Source organism: Homo sapiens, chromosome 18 (genome assembly GCF_000001405.40).
Source record: "Homo sapiens chromosome 18, GRCh38.p14 Primary Assembly".
In the NCBI taxonomy this organism is placed as follows: Eukaryota; Metazoa; Chordata; class Mammalia; order Primates; family Hominidae; genus Homo; species Homo sapiens.
The window spans coordinates 50662615-50679852 of NC_000018.10; the positions used below are offsets into that span (position 1 = coordinate 50662615).

Below are 17238 nucleotides of genomic sequence, written 5' to 3' on the forward strand. Positions count from 1 at the left end.
TAAAATGTTCAAAGACATTTGTAAAAGAAGGAAGAAAAGGAACCCAAGTGCAAAAACACGAGTATCGATCCTTTGTTTTCTGTCTGCAACTCATTGCTTTCTACTCTCACCCTTCCTAGCTAGCGCTGATGTGTGTGTTTGGAGAGCATAAAACAAATTAATTTTCCGAAGGTCAGAAGGGATAATTCTCCACCGTAATTTGCACATGTTAAACTTGGGGGAGCAGGCACTGACATAAGAGGCACAGCATCTGATGGTCTTATCAAATCAATCCATCTTCTGTCTCTTCCAGGGGAGTGCTACGCACAGCAGGAGGGTGGCTGGGCAGTGCAAAGCCCCGGAATCCCCTGAGCAAGCAGTGTTTCAGCTGGCTGGACAGATCAAATAACACTTGGGCTGGTTAACAAAAGACGCAAGTGGGAAGGTGTTGGAAGCCGGAGTGTGGAAATTTACCCAACGTTATTTCTTTGACAGGGAAGGAGACTTGGTCTGAAAGATGCCACATTCCTGCAGCCTCTCTTGGTGCAGTGGAATACAGTCTTGGGCGAGGTGGCGTGGATGAGCTGGTGAAAGAGGATGCTGCCCACATCCAAAGGCTCCAGAGGATCCTGGCCTGGCAGCTGAGCTCCCCTGCATTTGGAACCTCAGGCGTAACTTGGTGTAGAGCTCATGAAAGGTGCTTGTGTTTCTCCAGCTTTTTTCACCAGTGCTTACCAGACTGGCTCAGGTTTTGGAATCTAAGGTGAGCTGGTAGAAACAGGAGAGGTAGAAAGAAGCCCCTGGATGCCTCCAGAATTCATTGATGGGATCCCTGCATACTGCTTGGAACACAGAAAGAGGCTGTGACACAGCTGAGCTTTGGAGCATCTTAAGGAGCTCAGCTCAGCAAACAACTCTTGCATTTCAGCCAGAAAGAGCCTCTTGTAACAAAGTATTCAAAGGGGAGAGTTTCTGCATCTTTTACTTTGCAGTCCACTATGGTAGAAAACTTGACATTCCATAGATAATGATACTGGGTTTTCTTTCCAAGATGCCAGCTTTAAAAGAAATATGAGCCATTCTAAGCTTTAAGAAGGGTTCAGGAAACACAGGAATTAGTAGACAGCCCTCCCAATGCAGGTTAAGACGACAGCCTGCGCCCCCAACTAGCACAGCTCAGCGAGCATGACCATATGCCATTCTCGTCTCCAGAGAGCTGGTGGCAGTGACCTCACTAGGAGAAAACACATCCCTCAGCCGTGGGACTTGACAGAATGAGGTGCGCGAGGGAGGCCGCTAGCCGAGACTTGGCCTTTCCTGACTGCCCCTGTGTTACCTGGGCAGCTCCAGATCACTGAGCCCACAATGGCTGAGAAGGGTGACTGCATCGCCAGTGTCTATGGGTATGACCTCGGTGGGCGCTTTGTTGACTTCCAACCCCTGGGCTTCGGTGTCAATGGTTTGGTGCTGTCGGCCGTGGACAGCCGGGCCTGCCGGAAGGTCGCTGTGAAGAAGATTGCCCTGAGCGATGCCCGCAGCATGAAGCACGCGCTCCGAGAGATCAAGATCATTCGGCGCCTGGACCACGACAACATCGTCAAAGTGTACGAGGTGCTCGGTCCCAAGGGCACTGACCTGCAGGGTGAGCTGTTCAAGTTCAGCGTGGCGTACATCGTCCAGGAGTACATGGAGACCGACCTGGCACGCCTGCTGGAGCAGGGCACGCTGGCAGAAGAGCATGCCAAGCTGTTCATGTACCAGCTGCTCCGCGGGCTCAAGTACATCCACTCCGCCAACGTGCTGCACAGGGACCTGAAGCCCGCCAACATCTTCATCAGCACAGAGGACCTCGTGCTCAAGATTGGGGATTTCGGGTTGGCAAGGATCGTTGATCAGCATTACTCCCACAAGGTATGTCTGGCTGGAATGGCGGATACTGGTGGTCCACAGAATCCCCAAGAATACTTGCAGCATTCCCAAGCTATTCCTAGCTCCATGGTAGTCAGAGGACTAGAGTTAGTAATTAGGGGAGGCTGGAGGGTGCTAGGAAGATCACTAGCCTGAAAAGTTGTTGGAGGCGTGGAGGGAGATCTGGTTCTTGGTCTTGGCTCTGCTATGTGGCTTTGATCACCCTGAGCTGTGCCTGCAGAAGCTGGACTAGACGATCTCCAAAATTTCTTCCAGCTCTAAATTCTATGGCTTGAAAACTATGTGGTTGGTGAATTTGCCTCTAGCATCTTCTTATCCCTGCTGTCCACTTAGCCATCCCATGTCCTTCCTGTGTGCTCAGGACACACCCTGAGGCTTCCCACCCTGTGAGCCTCATGCTCTGGTTGGTCTCACCTCCCTCATCCCATCCAAGCTGACCCATTCGGTGTCCATTTCTCTCAGTCAGTGGACAGCAGGCACAAATTGTTGATCTGATGAGCTAATCCTTCACTGTACCTTATCCAGCTAATGACTCTGTTCTCCTGGGTCCCGTGATGCTCTTGCTTCTCAGTGTGATGTGAAAGCCATGGGTGGCAGACGGTACTATTGCGATTCCCCGTGGTGGGTGCTAAATGCTCCACCAACTGCAGGGATCAGAGCTGACCCGGCCACTCTGCTGGAGACAAATGTCACACTGAGTTGTTCTCAAGGGCCCAGACCTCCTCTTACCTGATCCATTCCTCTCTTCAGAAGCTGGGAGTCCTCTGACATTCCCTTCCTTCCCCTGCCCCGGGTTCCTGCCACTTTAGGGGTGCCTCTGAGCCCCTCAGCATGAGCATGTTGCCATGTACCCTGCAACAGAGCTGGGGGCTGGCTGTGGCTTCCAGCCTGCTGCCCAAACCTTGATGCTACAAAAAATGTTATTAGAATAAAACATCTCCTTGGGATTAGGTGTACAGTAGTCTGTTATCATCCAAGGGGCTGGGGTGGGTCATGAAAGGGGAGGGTGGTTTTGACCTTGAACATGCTTTGGCTGTCTCCCTGAGCCCCATTCCTCTGCCCTCCTTTAGCACCCCCACATAGAAGGGCACTGATCTGCCCTCTACAGCTGCAGTGCAGGGCATCACAGGGGGCAGGGAGCAGGGCTCCCTGTCCTACCCTCCCTGGCTGGAACTTGGGCTCCAGCCCAGGTTTCAGACCCCAAATCAGCCCAGCTGGCTCTGGCTCCTTGGTGCCACAAATTACTTAGTGACCTTAACCATGAGCCTGCCCTCTGCCCCACTCCTGCAGCCAAGCCATCTGTCAAAACTGACAGCCAACTCTGTAGGAAGGAATGTCCATGGGCTGGGGCCTGGGGAGGCAGGGAGAAACAGTGCCCTTGTATCTCTTTCTAATTCCTTGAACTGCTTCTTTTTTCTCTTTCTTCTAAGGAGCAATGACTCCAAACCACCAAACCAAGGGTTTTAATCCAAATCTGTTCTTACTTGGTAAAAAACCTAGAAAATCCACAAGACTCTTATATGTGGGATGCACAAAAACTACCTTCTGAATTGGAATAAACCGGTACATTTGAGTATCATATGATGAAAGAACCTGATTAAGTGAGCTGCAACAAGGAAAGAGCTTAAGACAGCACATAGTAGGGCTTTAGGAAGGTCCAGGAAGATGGTTTATTGTGGCGTAAACTGGCTATCGCAATAATTCTTTGGGGGTGACATGGTGTGAGCAAAGGACCCTTTAGGAGGAGTCAGAGGTCTGGGTTCCTTCTAACAGTGCTAGCTTGGATGTAGATAGTCACTTACCCCCTGGGAGCCTCAGTTTCCCCTCTTTGACAGGGATAATAATTGTGCTCTGTCTGCTCCTCTGGCTTATGGTTAAGAATCAAAATGATCCATGAATGTAAAATTCCTTGGAAAGCAGTCAGGACTGCATCCATTCATTTAATGGATATTTGCTGAGCCAACATCAAACCCAAGCTCAGTGCTGGGAGCTGGAGAGACCAAGGCTCACACGATCCCCCAGCAACCCTGAGGGCTGGGCTTAGTGTTATCCTGTCACTTGGGACTGGAAGCCACTTCCCTGGTTGAGACTTTCATTTTCCCAATGTAGAGGAATTTTGATGTTCTGACTTGCTCTTATCGGGTTCTCTTTAATAAAATTCGCTGTGGGAGGTTAAAGAAATCACTGGAGGCAGTTATGAGCCCAGTAGGTGCTCACATCATCCCTGCAACCCCGTGTTTGGCAGATGCCACCCACCCCTACCCCACCTCCTCCCTCATACACTTTCTGCTTTTAGCTTTCTGCCCTCTCTTCCCACAGTGATGATGAAAGGCTTTATATTTGGTGCTTTTATTTATCCAATGTGCATTTAAATCAGTTCTCGTTTAATCCCCATAATGCTGTGAAGCACTTAGGGCAAATGGTTCATTTTAAAACAGAGAGAAACGGCTTTCTCAAGCTTACACAGCTGATATGGCCAAAGGACACAGGATCTGAGGCCTCTTCCTCTCCTGATGGAGGGTCTCTCTGAGCGCTGTCTCCTTCATGAAGTCTTTCCGGATTCTGGGTTGGAATTAATCATTCCTTTCTCTGAATTCCCATGGCACTTTCCCCATCCCATCATGGGTATCTTCTAAGACTCATCACTCTCTGCTCTGTCCTAGGAGTATTTGAGTCTGTCTCTTTGTACTCTCCCAAGCTGAGAGTCCCTTGGCCCCTTGAAAGCTGTCTCTCCTTCTTTATGGTTCCCCTCCATGGATTCTGATCACTGTACCTAAGACATGGCCCTCAATCAATTTTGTTGACTGTATTGAACAGATGGAAGAATAGTCATCTACTAGCACATTGCAGAAAGGGAGCTGTTGGGTTCATTGATTTTGTGTGGTTGGAAGGGTTGACTCTCAGAAAAAGAGCACATACTTCTTCCAGACAGTAGGTTGGTTGTGGTCAGATGTGTACATCTGGGGCATGCATCTGCTCTCTCCAGTGTGCTTGGAGGATGCTGTCTACACACAAACTTCTCGAAACTTAACCCCTTCTAAAGTTTTATGGATCTCCACTCCCTTTGAAGAAGACCATGCTCACCTGGGCTGCAGCGAGTGCCTTTGTGTGGGACAAAAAAATGCCCCTTCTCCCTGGCTGAGACAGCCCAGGGCCAGCGATAGGCTTAGTGATCCAACTGGAGCCTTGTTTGGAAAAACTCTCAGAACATTTTTCCTCTGCTCTCACACCACAACAACATACCCAGAAGACTTCTGTGACCTCAAAACCTTGGGGATTTCTCCCCACCGGCAAGCTAGCAATCAGTTCTTCAGTGGACACCAGCTGGGTGTCCCCCAATTCAATTCCAACACTATTTACCTGGAGATAGCATCAGATCCCACATGTTGAGGGACACAAGACTGCCCCCTCCTTCCCACGAGTCATATTAATAAGTCCGTGCCTCCGGAACTTCTGATGGACTGGCTTCAAGTTGGGGTTCCCATGGTCCCCTCTTTGAGTTTAATTAATTTGCTAGAGGAGCTCACAGAACTCAGGGAAACACCTATTTACATTTACTGTAAGGGTTAGGGTTAGGTTCATGTAACACTTCCTTACATTTATTATGAAGGACATTTTCAAGGATACAAATAAACAGCCAGGTGAAAAGATATACAGGGCATAGTCCAGAAAGGTCCTGAGCACAGAAGCATCTGTCCCCAGGGAGTGGGGGCGCACCACCCTCCTGGCACATGGATGAATTCTTATTCGCCCACCCAGCAGTGTGCAGCAGCCTGGTCCTCATGCCTCCCATCTTTCTCATGGGTGGACAGTATGTCTCATTTGCTCCCACATCCCCTCCTCTAGCGCAGGGCCTGACACTGGGCACGTGCCCATTAGGTTCATTTAGTGAAGGAGATACCAAAGGAAATGGCCTTCTCTTCTCTAGTGAGCAACTGGCCACGTCGAGGTTTCAAGTTGCAGTCAGGATGCATGCTGGGTGTGTGCCCCCTACTGCACCACCCCTGGGGGTCTTGGTCTTTGCAAGGTCTAGGGGCCATGTAGAGGCTCCTGCAGCCCACACTTGGGGAGATGGTGTGGGTGGCAATGGAGGATGTTCCCTTTCAACAGGGGCAGTCTGGAAAACACTGCCTCTGTGTTATTCTCACTCATCTCGCCAACTGCATGACCTTGGGCAAGTCCTTTTGCTCATGTAGTTTATCCCTAGAATAGATCTGTAAAAAGACCTCACACCCATGTTGTCCATCCCTGGCTTTTCACAGATGACAAAACTGGAAGGGAAGGAGACTCGCTCAAGGTCACACAATGAGTGGCTGAGCCTGGGTTTTGACTCCATGTCCACTGTTTTCTCAGAGCTTCACTTCCCGATTGTCTTTTCTGCCAAATCGGGAGAGTCAGGCCATTCTGCTTATTTCATAGGATTCCTGTTAGAGTCAAACGAAAAAGCGTGGCTGTCAAAGTGCATTCAGATGTACGCAGGGCTAAATCACTAACCAAACTTTGCCCAAAGAGATGCCACGGCAATGCCAGGCAGACACCAGATGTCAGTTTCCCCTTCACTGAGATACGGACCCCACTCCTGACCCAGTGGCCTTGGGGCGAGTCTTGCAACCCCACCTGAGGGTGGCTTCTCAGCCCGTGGTCCTGTGACAAGCCCTTTCTACCGCTTCCTCTGCAGGCCCGCTAATGAGTTCTTCGTTGTTTGTGTTGAGAAGAGGCAGCTGAAGGATTGGAGTGTGCTTTCTTCTGAATTTATCCCATTAGGAAGCAGACTATCTCAAAAGAGAAAAAAAATGTCATTAAGACTTCACTGAGCACTGTGTAAGGCTTAAGAAAGGTCAGGAACCACCTCAAGAGTATGCGGAGGTCCTGAGGAGCACGATGACAGCTTGACTCACGGTGAGAGTGTGTTGCTCCAGGAAGGGCCACCTCTCCTCCTACCATAGAGTCCTCGCTGGGGCTGCTGGGGGGACCACCCACTACCCTTGCTTGTAGCACTTATTTTACCCTGGGCTCACTAAACCTGCTCATCTCCACTACAACATTCAAGAACCGTCAAACTCCTGATCCAGTAACCTTCTATGACTAGCGTGCATCATGGCATTTACAGTAAAGCTAGCCCTCTACAGCTCACACCTCTGACTGCCAAAGGCACATATAGAGGCCCCATTGCCGGGTCTATCGTTCTTGCAGCAGTACTTCTAAAATTAGGTGGGTATGGTATAATACAAGTTACTTTAATTCTAATCCCCTGGCAGAATTTATAGCATATCCATTCCTCATTCTATCTCTCTAAGGGATAATCATAACAAGTTCTATTTGCTTCTGACAGACTGACCTAAAATCACTCATTGCAGCCGGGCACAGTGGCTCACGCCTGTAATCCCAGCACTTTGGGAGGCCAAGGCAGATGGATCACAAGGTCAGGAGTTCAAGACCATCCTGGCTAACATGGTGAAACCCCGTCTCTCCTAAAAATATAAAAAATTAGCCGGGCGTGGTGGCGGGCACCTGTAGTCCCAGCTGCTTGGGAGGCTGAGGCAGGAGAATGGCGCAAACCCCGGAGGTGGAGCTTGCGGTGAGCCGAGATCGTGCCACTGCACTCCAGCCTGGGCTACAGAGCAAGACTCCATCTCAAAAAAAAAAAAAAAAAACACTCATTGCCTATTTTTTCATAAGCCACATGGCGCTTGTCTTTCACATATCCGCCTTTCAAAGGGGCAGTAAGCAGAAAATACCCAAGAAGGAAAGGAAGAGGAAGGTCCCATCAGAATTTGGGCAAAGGCTCATGTGTTTTGGTGGATCATTCAAGCAAGTCTGTTTCCTGCGGGACTGGCCTGCCTTTGAGCCTTTCTGCTTCATAGCCCTCTGTCTTCTTTCTTCGTTCAAGATCAGACTGCTTCCATGCTTTGCCTCCATATCTCATTAGGATGCCTTAAAAATTAACTAGCAGGCCGGGTGTGGTGGCTCACGCCTGCAATCCCAGCACTCTGGGAAGCCGAGGTGGGCAGATCACTTGAGGTTAGGAGTTTGAGACCAGCCTGGCCAACATGGTGAAACCCTGTCTCTACTAAAAATATAAAAATTAGCCAGGCGTGGTGGTGTGTGCCTGTAGTTTCAGCTACTCAGGAGGCTGAGGTAGGAGAATCGCTTGAACTTGGGAGGTGGAGGTTGCATTGAGCCAAGATCACACCACTGCACTCCAGTCTGGGCAACAGAGTGAGACTCCGTCTCAAAAAAAAAAAAAAAAAAATCAACTAGTGTAGTGGTTCTCAAAGTGAGGCCCCACACCAGCAGCCTCAGCTTCACCTAGGAACTTATTAGAGATACAGATTCCCAGGTTCCATCTCAAACAACAGCCCTTAGGGTGAGGCCCAGCAATCTGTGTTTTCACAAGCCTCCAAGGGATTCTGATGCTCCTGAACTTTTAAGAACCATTGACCCAAAGACATGGGATTGCTTATCTCAGGACAGAAAGCTGATGCTCCTGATGTGTTTGCTGACGCTTGGAGCTGTGGCTCTCAAACTTCAGCACAATGAAGGAGACTAAGAATGCCTCCCAGAGAACACAGGTGTGTCTGAAGCAGGTGCCTTAACCAGAAGGGCTGCTAATGGTGGGAATCTCAGGCTCTGTGACAGGGGTCATGTGGATTGTTTTAAGCATGATGACTTTGGAGGGCCTCACTCACATCACCTTGGAAACTGCCTGCTACCCCATGGCACGAGTTTACTGGAAAGCTACACACACCAGGGACCTAAACCCATAGGAGGACTGTTTATGTTTAGGTTTGATTTTTAACAATTAGGTGATACGAACAATAATTTTGGAAAACATAGGCTTTTCATTCTGGTGTGAACTACTTCACTAGATGTTATTTAAAAGCAAAAACACTGGTTTCACAGTTCAGCAAGATTGAATGTCTGATTGAGGGCTCAGCAAATTACTGCAGTTTGTTAAGTTTGTGGTTCAATTTGAGGTCCCAAAGGAGGAAAAGAGGTACATGATGTCAAACACATGCAGCCAGCTTCCAGTGGCTTTGCGTGGGAGCTCTGGTCAGCGGGGTTTACATGGGTTTAATCATGCTGAGGCCAGATGCAGTGGCTCATGCCTACAGTCCCAGAGCTTTGGGAGGCTTTGGGAAGACTGCTTAAGGCAAGGAGTTTGAGACCAGCCTGGGCAACAGCGAGACCCCCATGTCTACAAAAAATAAGAAAAAATTAGCCAGGTATAGTGGTGCACACCTATAGTCCCAGCCACTCAGGAAGCTGAGATGGGAGGATCACTTGAGCCCAAGAGTTCAAGGCTGCAGTGAGCTATGATTATACCATCGCACTTCAGCCTGGGCCACAGAGTGAGACCCTGACTCAAAAAAAAAAAAAAAAAAATCATGTTGATCAACTTCATTTCCTCCCTCTCCTGGGCACTCTGTCTTTCTTTGATGGCTTCTTGCCTGAGAAAAACACACAGAAAGCTCTCCTAAAGCACAAATTCTCTCCAAGCTGAAACTAGGAGGAGAAATATTCAATCTGTGACTAAAATGGGGTCTCTGCCGGTGATCAAGAGAGTGCCCTTTTAGTGTCTGTGTGTTTATATTCAGGTCTCCATAGTGCAGATGGCAACCCACAGGGTGCAGGGAGTGGAGAAGGATTTTCCCAGGACCCCAGAGTAGGAATGGGGTCCACAGGGCTGGTGCTGGGAGCAGAACCCAGCCATCCGCGGAGGCTGGATTTCATGGGAAAATGAGCTTGTGGAAGGGCACTTTCTGAGGGCTCAGCTAGCAGGAAAGGTCACTTTCTTCTGAAGCCACTAAGCATGTTATTCCAAATCAGTGGAGCTGAAAAGATTTATTTAAAAGGCTATGAAATATCCCTTTTTTAAAGGGAAAAATATGATCAAGGGGATTAGAACGGAGGCTGTACTTGAGAGTCAGGTGTCCCTGAACACCCAGGCAGACTTGGAAAGCTCATTGTGTTGGCGTTCAGTGCCTCCCTGTCCCCTTCCCATGGCAGAAGAGGATCCCGAGAAGAGGCTCTTCCCTCTGTCCCTGGGTCTCTGGGGTCCTCTTCTACCCACTCTCAGAAGAACACCACACCCAGGCCACCCTTCCGGGAAGCAACCCCACTGAGCTTGGGGTGATATTATAAATCTTTAAGCACAAGCCTGGCCTGGGAGATGACCAATCAGAAAGGAAGCCAGCCAGGGTCCTGAAGCAGGGTCCTAGAGGCGTCCTGCTTGCCACCAGTTCACCCTTTATTGCTGGATCAAGGGGAGGAGCAAGGGAGTCAGGGGCTTGGAGTAGTGGCTATTTACCAGTCAGCTTGCAGTATTTCATTATTCAGCAACTGGCCCAGCTATCTCAGTGCACATCAGCCACGCTGTGCTGCTTCCCTCATATCAAAGTTCCCCCTTTCCAATGTGCCTGTGGGTCTGGCTGTCCACTAGGGGTAAGCAGTTGATTAAATGGCTCAAAGTGCTGGGCATAGTGGCTCACGCCTGTAATCCCAACACTTTGGGAGGCCGAGGCAGGTGGATCACTTGAGGTCAGGAGTTCAAGACCAGCCTGGCCAACATGGTGAAACCCCATCTTTACCAAAAATACGAAAATTAGCCTGGTGTGGTGGCAGACACCTGTAATCCCAGCTACTTGGGAGGCTGAGCCAGAAGAATCTCTTGAACCTGGGAGGCAGAGGTTGCCGTGAGCCGAGATTGCACCACTTCACTCCAGCCTAAGCGAAAGAGTGAAACTCCGCCTCAAAAAAATAAATAAAAAATGCCTCAAAGGGATCAACAGCCCCCTCTTCGGAAGCCCAGCCTGCTCACTCACCTGGTACTCCCCTCACCATGAGAGCTGCCACCTCCTGTGGCAAGTGCCAAAGCTCCTGAAGAATTCAACAGGCAGGAAGTCTGCAGCCCGCTAGGGACGCTGGAGTGGAGCTAGTGTGTTTCATGCAGTGCAGGCTTGCTGGTGACAAATCCTTTGTTTACCTAGAAAGTATATTTTTTATTCTCATGTTTAAAGTTTATTTTCCCTGGGTGTAAAATGCTGAATTGGCCGTCGCGGTGGCTCACGCCTGTAATCCCAGCACTTTGGGAGGCCGAGGCAGGCGGATCACCTGAGGTCAGGAGTTTGAGACCATCCTGGCTAACATGGTGAAACCCAGTCTCTACTAAAAATACAAAAAATTAGCTGGGCATGGTGGCGGGCGCCTGTAGTCCCAGCTACTCGGGAGGCTGAGGCAGGAGAATGGCATGAACCCAGGAGGCGGAGCTTGCAGTGAGCCGAGATTGTGCCACTGCACTCCAGCCTGGGCGACGCAGCAAGACTCCGTCTCAAAAAAAACAAAAATGCTGAATTTACCATTTTTTTTCAATACTTCAAAAATGTCATTGCCTTATTTCCTGTCCATGTTGTTTTTAAAGAGTAGTTGGTCTTCATTCATAGGATTGTTCCCCTGTATGTAATGTGTCTTTTTTTCTCCAGCTGATTAATGAATATTATTAAATGGAATGAAGTGGGAGGGCCTCGGTGCATAAGTGTTGAATAATGAGCTCCTCCTTCCTTTTATACCCAAGATTTGCTGGTGAGAGAACTCACTCCCTCTCAGAGGGTGTTTTCAGTCCTGGTGTAAAGGACCCGACCTTCAGTCATTGCTCCAGTCTCTCCACTTGGGTACACCCAAGTTGTAAACATCTCAGGAACAGGACACTGTCTTATTCTATAGGCAGATATTCTTTGGTTTATATCGAAGAAGGATAATTAGAAAATTGAATCAAATCCTTTTCCGTTTTCTCCTGAAATGTGGTTTCTTGATTTAGCTTTGCTGCGGTAGCCTGTTGAGAAGACAGTAGTATAGAAATAGAAGGCTCGGTGGGGGTGTGGGCATCGCATTGCTGTGATGATCCTGCCTTTTGTGGTTACCTTCTATTTCAGTCTCACACATCTGTGAGCTGGGAGAGACCAGCCCTTATCCTCGCCTCATCCGCTGCCACTCCACTCCCTCGTGTTGTAACTGACTTGTCACCATTCCCTGGAAAATACCATACCCAGTGACAGCTCTGGTCCCACACACTGTTCCCTCTGTTCCCACATAAACTCCTGCGGACCCTGCTCAAATGTCCCACCTCTGTGAAGCTTCACCCAGCAACCCAGGGAAGAGTTAATCACACCTTCCTCTGGCTGTGCAAAGCCGTTATCCCCACGTTACTGTGATGATCTGTTTACATGCCTCTTCCCAGACAGACCTGGCAGGGCCCCTAGAAAAACATATGTATCTCTTTCATTTCTATATTCCTGGCACCTAGCATAGTATCTGATCCATTGTATGAGTTCATTCAATGCTAATTGGCTAATGAACAAGCCAAGCCTCTGCCTTTCTATTGAATAAGCATGGTCTTCAAGCATAAATTCTCTTCCTCAGGGCAGCATTCAAGGATTTGAAGTCATCTACCATGTCCCTCTAAATCTCGGTAGGCTAGAAGCCCCCCTATACAAAAATATTCAGGTACTCTTCTAAGTGCTTAATGGGTGTTAACCTACTAAATCCTCATAACAACCTAATAGGTGCTGTTGTTGCCCCCATTGTCTAGATGAAGACACTAAGGCACAGAGAGTAACTTATCCAGGGTCACCTGCCTGGTCAATGGCAGCGTTGGACTGCAAAGCCCAGTGGCAGCTCAGAGACTGTGCTCTCAGCCACTGAGCTCAGCTGCTTTGATGGCCATTCAGGTGACTGCATTTCCAGAGCTCACACTATCCTGACTGCCCTTTCATTGACCTCCTTCTTGGCAAACCATTTTTTTTTTTTTTTTTTGAGACGGAGTTTGCTCTTGTAGCCCAGACTGGAGTGCAATAGTGCAGTCTCGGCTCACTGCAACCTCCGCCTCCCGGGTTCATGCGATTCTCCTGCCTCAGCCTCCCAAGTAGCTGGGACTACAGGTGCCTGCCACCAGGCCCAGCTAATTTTGTTTTTATTTATTTATTTTTTTTGAGACAGGGTTTCACTCTGTTGCCAGGCTGGAGTGCAGTGGCACGATCTTGGCACACTGCAACCTCCACCTCCTGGGTTCACGTGATTCTCCTGCCTCAGCTTCCCAAGTAGCTGGGACTACAGGCATGCACCACCTTGCCCAGCTAATTTTTATATTTTTAGTAGAGGCGGGGTTTCATCATGTTGGCCAGGATGGTCTTGATCTCTTGACCTCGTGATCTGCCCGCCTCAGCCTCCCAAAGTGCTGGGATTACTGGTGTGAGCCACCACGCCCAGCCCATTTTTTTGTATTTTTAGTAGAGACGGGGTTTCACCTTGTTGGCCAGGCTGGTCTTGAACTCCTGATCTCAGGTGATCCGCCTGCCTCAGCCTCCTAAAGTGCTGGGATTATAGGCATGGCAGACCCTTTCTTAAAATGTATCTTCCAGAACAGGTGCTATGTGATTTAGCTAGCACAGCATCAGTGGGGATGCGACATTGCTGCTCTGTACACATCACGCTGTTCATGTTGCCCATGGTCTTTCGGTAGCCAGGTTGCACTGTTGGCTCATTGAGCCTGTAGTCAACTAACTTCTGTTAGCTCTGTATACTCTATTTTACATGAATATGGTTGATCTTTTTTTAGCCCAAGTACAGGACTTTCTTTACCCTCATCCCTTGTAGATTTCATCTTCTTGGCTTCCTGCAAATATTGTAACCTGATGAGATCTTTTTGGATCTTTGTTCTGTCACATAATCTTATCCCTTATAGCTTCATAATTTATAAGCCTGTCTTCTAGGACTTCACTCATTTCACTGGTTAAAATATGTGTAAAGAGATTAGACCAAAGGCCTAGCCACTAGACACGCCCCTCCAGAGTGACACTGACATTCTTTGGATTTAGCCGTCAAACCAGTTATCAATTTACATAGTTATATACTTTTTACCCAAATTTTTTCATTGTCCACAAAGATGTCCTCAGGGGTTTTGTAAAAGTGTTTTGAGACTCAGGGACACTGTAATATCCTTTCATTCTATCTCAATACAATTTGAAACTCATCCTAAAGTTAAAAAGTGACATTCAAGCTGCATGACCAGCTGTAACAGTTTTAATTCCTAGATACATGGAGCACAGATGTTAGGAAACATCACCACTTTAGAGAGAACCCAATGCATGAAAATCTAAACTTACAAAATTATATTGGAGGCTAGGGTGTGCTTAGGTAAACTATCATTCATCCACTAAATAGAATTGTTACACGAGTATGTTCTATGATGTTTTTGAAGAGTTTGCAATAACATAGACAATTTTGTGTAATAATAGTAAGTTTGAAAAGCAAGATACAGAATTATGAAGATGGTATGATCATAAGTTTAAAACAAGGAGAAAATAACTAAACATTTTTTTAAAATAGACTTGAGTAAGGGTCCCCAACCCCTGGGCTGAGGACCAGGACTGTCTGTGGCCTCTTAGAAACCAGGCCACACAGCAGGAGGTGAGTGGCTGGTGAGGGAGCATCCTCACCTGAGCTCCGCCTCCTGCCAGATCAGCAGTGGCATTAGAGTCTCATAGGAGCTCTAACCCTATTGTGAACTGCGCATACAAGGAATCTAGGTTGCACGCTCCTTATGAGAATCTAATGCCTGATGATCTGAGTGTAACAGTTTCATCCCAAAACCATCTCCCAGCTCCTCTTCCCGGTCCGTGGAAAAATTGTTTTCCACGAAACTGATCCCTGGTGCCAAAAAGGTTGGGGACTGCTGGGCTAGAAGTAAAAACTCCAAAATGTTAACAATGGTTCGACAAGGCATAGCCTTCTTTCAATAATTCCCAAAAATATGTAAAATGAACATTCATGGTTTTATCACAGTAACCTTTTCAGGTGGGAAGTTGGGAAAGTTTGCTGCAACAGTTTACCCATTGCAAAAAGAGTGGTAAACCTGGATTATTCGGTTACTGAAAGAAAAGGGTCAAGCACCCCAGCGTGTGGCCCAGGAGTCCACGGACAGGGACCCTCAACTGCCTTCTGCTCTGAGGTGCCCACTGTGTCATGTGTGTAAGGTTTTTTTTTGTTGTTTTTTTTTTGAGACAGGGTCCCACTCTGTTGCTCAGGCTGGAGTGCAGATCATAGCTCACTGCAGACTCCATCTCCCAAGCAATCCTCCTGCCTCAGTCTCCCAAGTAGCTGGGGCTATAGGCACATGCCACCATACCTGGCTATTTTTTATTTTATTTTATTTTTAGTAGAGACAAGGTCTCGCTATGTTGCTCAGGCTGGTCTCAAACTCCTGAGCTCAAGCAATCTTCCTGCCTCTGCTTCCCAAAGTGCTGGGATTATAGGCATGAGCCCCTGCACCTCCCAGGTCTATAAATCTTACCTCCCCACCCAGAGTGGCTGCTCTGCCTCAGGCTGCAGCCTCTGGGAAGAGGAGACTTCTGGACAGGCTGGTGGGGTGAGGGTGGGTTCCATGCCCCCGGGAAATAGGACAACCTCCTCATAGGTAGAGTGGGCAGGTACTAACTAGTGCCATGTGAGCCTAAGCAAGTTACTTAACCTCCCTCAGGCTGGCTCCATCCCCTCATAATAACTCAGGTTTCTGTGTTCTCAGATACCTAAAATTGTACCACTAATAGTAAATTGTATTGGAGTGGTTGACCATGTATTAGTTTCTCTTCTAAGATACCGATAAAGGGAGTGAAGATGAGTGGGAACAAGTCAGAAAATTCTTACTGTAATGAACTTGTCAAAATGGATTAATTAGGAAGCACTGGGCTAGGGGAAGGGAGTTGAACTCAAAAGGAGACCAGAATACAGAGCCCCCTTAAATGTTGACACATTTGCAATTTGGCCAAAGCCTGCCTCTAGTACTGTGGTTATACACTACAGGTGATATTCAAGATATTTAACAACTGGTAAGCTTTGGGACCAACCAATCTGAACAGACATCGGCAGTGACCAATCAGAGTAGATACTGTCTGGGAGCCGCCATCACCCCTCCACCCTGTACAGACTGGAGAGCGGGCCCTGTCTTCCCAGAGGTGTTCACTCAAGGGTCCACCAGCGACTTCCCTGTTCAGGCACTCAGAGCAGCAACTGAGAGGTCTGCCCTGGCACAGTCACTTTGGGAAGAATACAGCTTTTTTTCCCTCCCTTTTTCAATAATTCCCAAAAATATATAAAATGAACAGGCCTTGGTCCCACAGCTGCCCCCACACTCTTATTCTTGCTTTCTTCTCTTCCAAGATAACACGTTTGCCCTCTGCTGTCCATCATGCACCTGGCAGGATCCCCTTGTTTTCTGGGTGAAGGCAGCAGGAAAGGGGGAGCCATTCCTTGCCCTCCCTTTTGTGGCATGGCGGCCCCACCTTTGGCTTTCAGATGACACGGCCAGCAGGTTTTCTGGGGTATGGGAGACTTGAGGGTATGGTCATGAAGATTTTTTTTGCAGCGTCTTCTGCATACAAATACTACCATCTGTAGGAACCATGCAAACTCCAGCAGTAAGCTCGATGAAGCCATTGTGATCCGCAGGACTCACCTGAGGTCTTCTTGGGGTCAAATTTTCCCCATTGTCAATCCCTATGCCTTTTATTATGGAATTGGAGTCTGAGTTCCCCATGAAGGAGAGCAAGCCCGGGAGCACAGAATGGCCTGCGTGGCCTGGTTTCACAGGCCTGAGGCATCACTGTGTGTGAAGGTGGTTTTCAGTAGCCCACTTGCTGAGCTGGGTGGAGCCCAAGGCCAGGAGGACTGAGTCATGGGTGTGCTTCCGTGCAGGTCTTTTGTCTTAGCCACGTTTTCTTGTCCCCAGCTGCCCTTCCAAGCCTGACTCTAACCAATTTGCAAATGCTCTGGGTCGGAAGCTAGGGAAGGAGTGATCAGCCAATGGCTTCTGTAGCTGGAAGATCAATACCCTCATATCTACCCAGAAATATTTCCTACAATTCACAATAATGCACCCTAGGGAGTTCTTTCCCACCCATAACTCTGGATCCTCATACCAACCCTCTGAGAGAAGCGAGTCAGGTTAATTACTATCCTCCTTTGATAGATGAGCACAAAGGAGCCCCTAGGGTTGAAAAGCTCATCTAAGGCCCCACTGCTAATGAGAGACAGAGCTGGGACAAGATCTGCCTCCGGGAACCTGGAACAGCAGCTGATGTAATCAGGCTCCGTTCCAGAATTTGAGAACTTTCCTGGTACCCTCTGTGATGAGAAGAGGGAGTAATCATGGCATGGAGGCGCTCGGGCTTCCGCTTTGCCCAGGTGGAAGCTTGGAGAACAAAGCAGTTCTGTGACCTCCCTGGGCCCCACTGTGAGCAGAGATGGGGCCAGGACAGGAAAGCCTCCTCCCTGCCC

General features: G+C 48.5%; 1 protein-coding gene across 9 annotated transcripts in view; it reads left to right on the top strand.

The window, feature by feature from the left end:
- Positions 1 to 17238, top strand: part of MAPK4 (mitogen-activated protein kinase 4) — a 172215-nt gene that overhangs the window by 103003 nt on the left and 51974 nt on the right. For 7 of the 9 annotated variants that reach the window (XM_017025839.3, NM_002747.4, NM_001292040.2 and 4 more), the window contains exon 2: positions 475 to 1890. The exons of 1 other annotated variant lie outside the window; for it this stretch is intronic. In XM_017025839.3, coding sequence (XP_016881328.1) covers positions 1345 to 1890 — 546 coding nt within the window. In that variant the 5' untranslated portion in view covers positions 475 to 1344. Of the gene's footprint in view, positions 1 to 292; positions 1891 to 17238 lie in introns of all 9 variants that reach the window. One more of the 9 variants, XM_011526074.3, reaches the window with a different exon arrangement.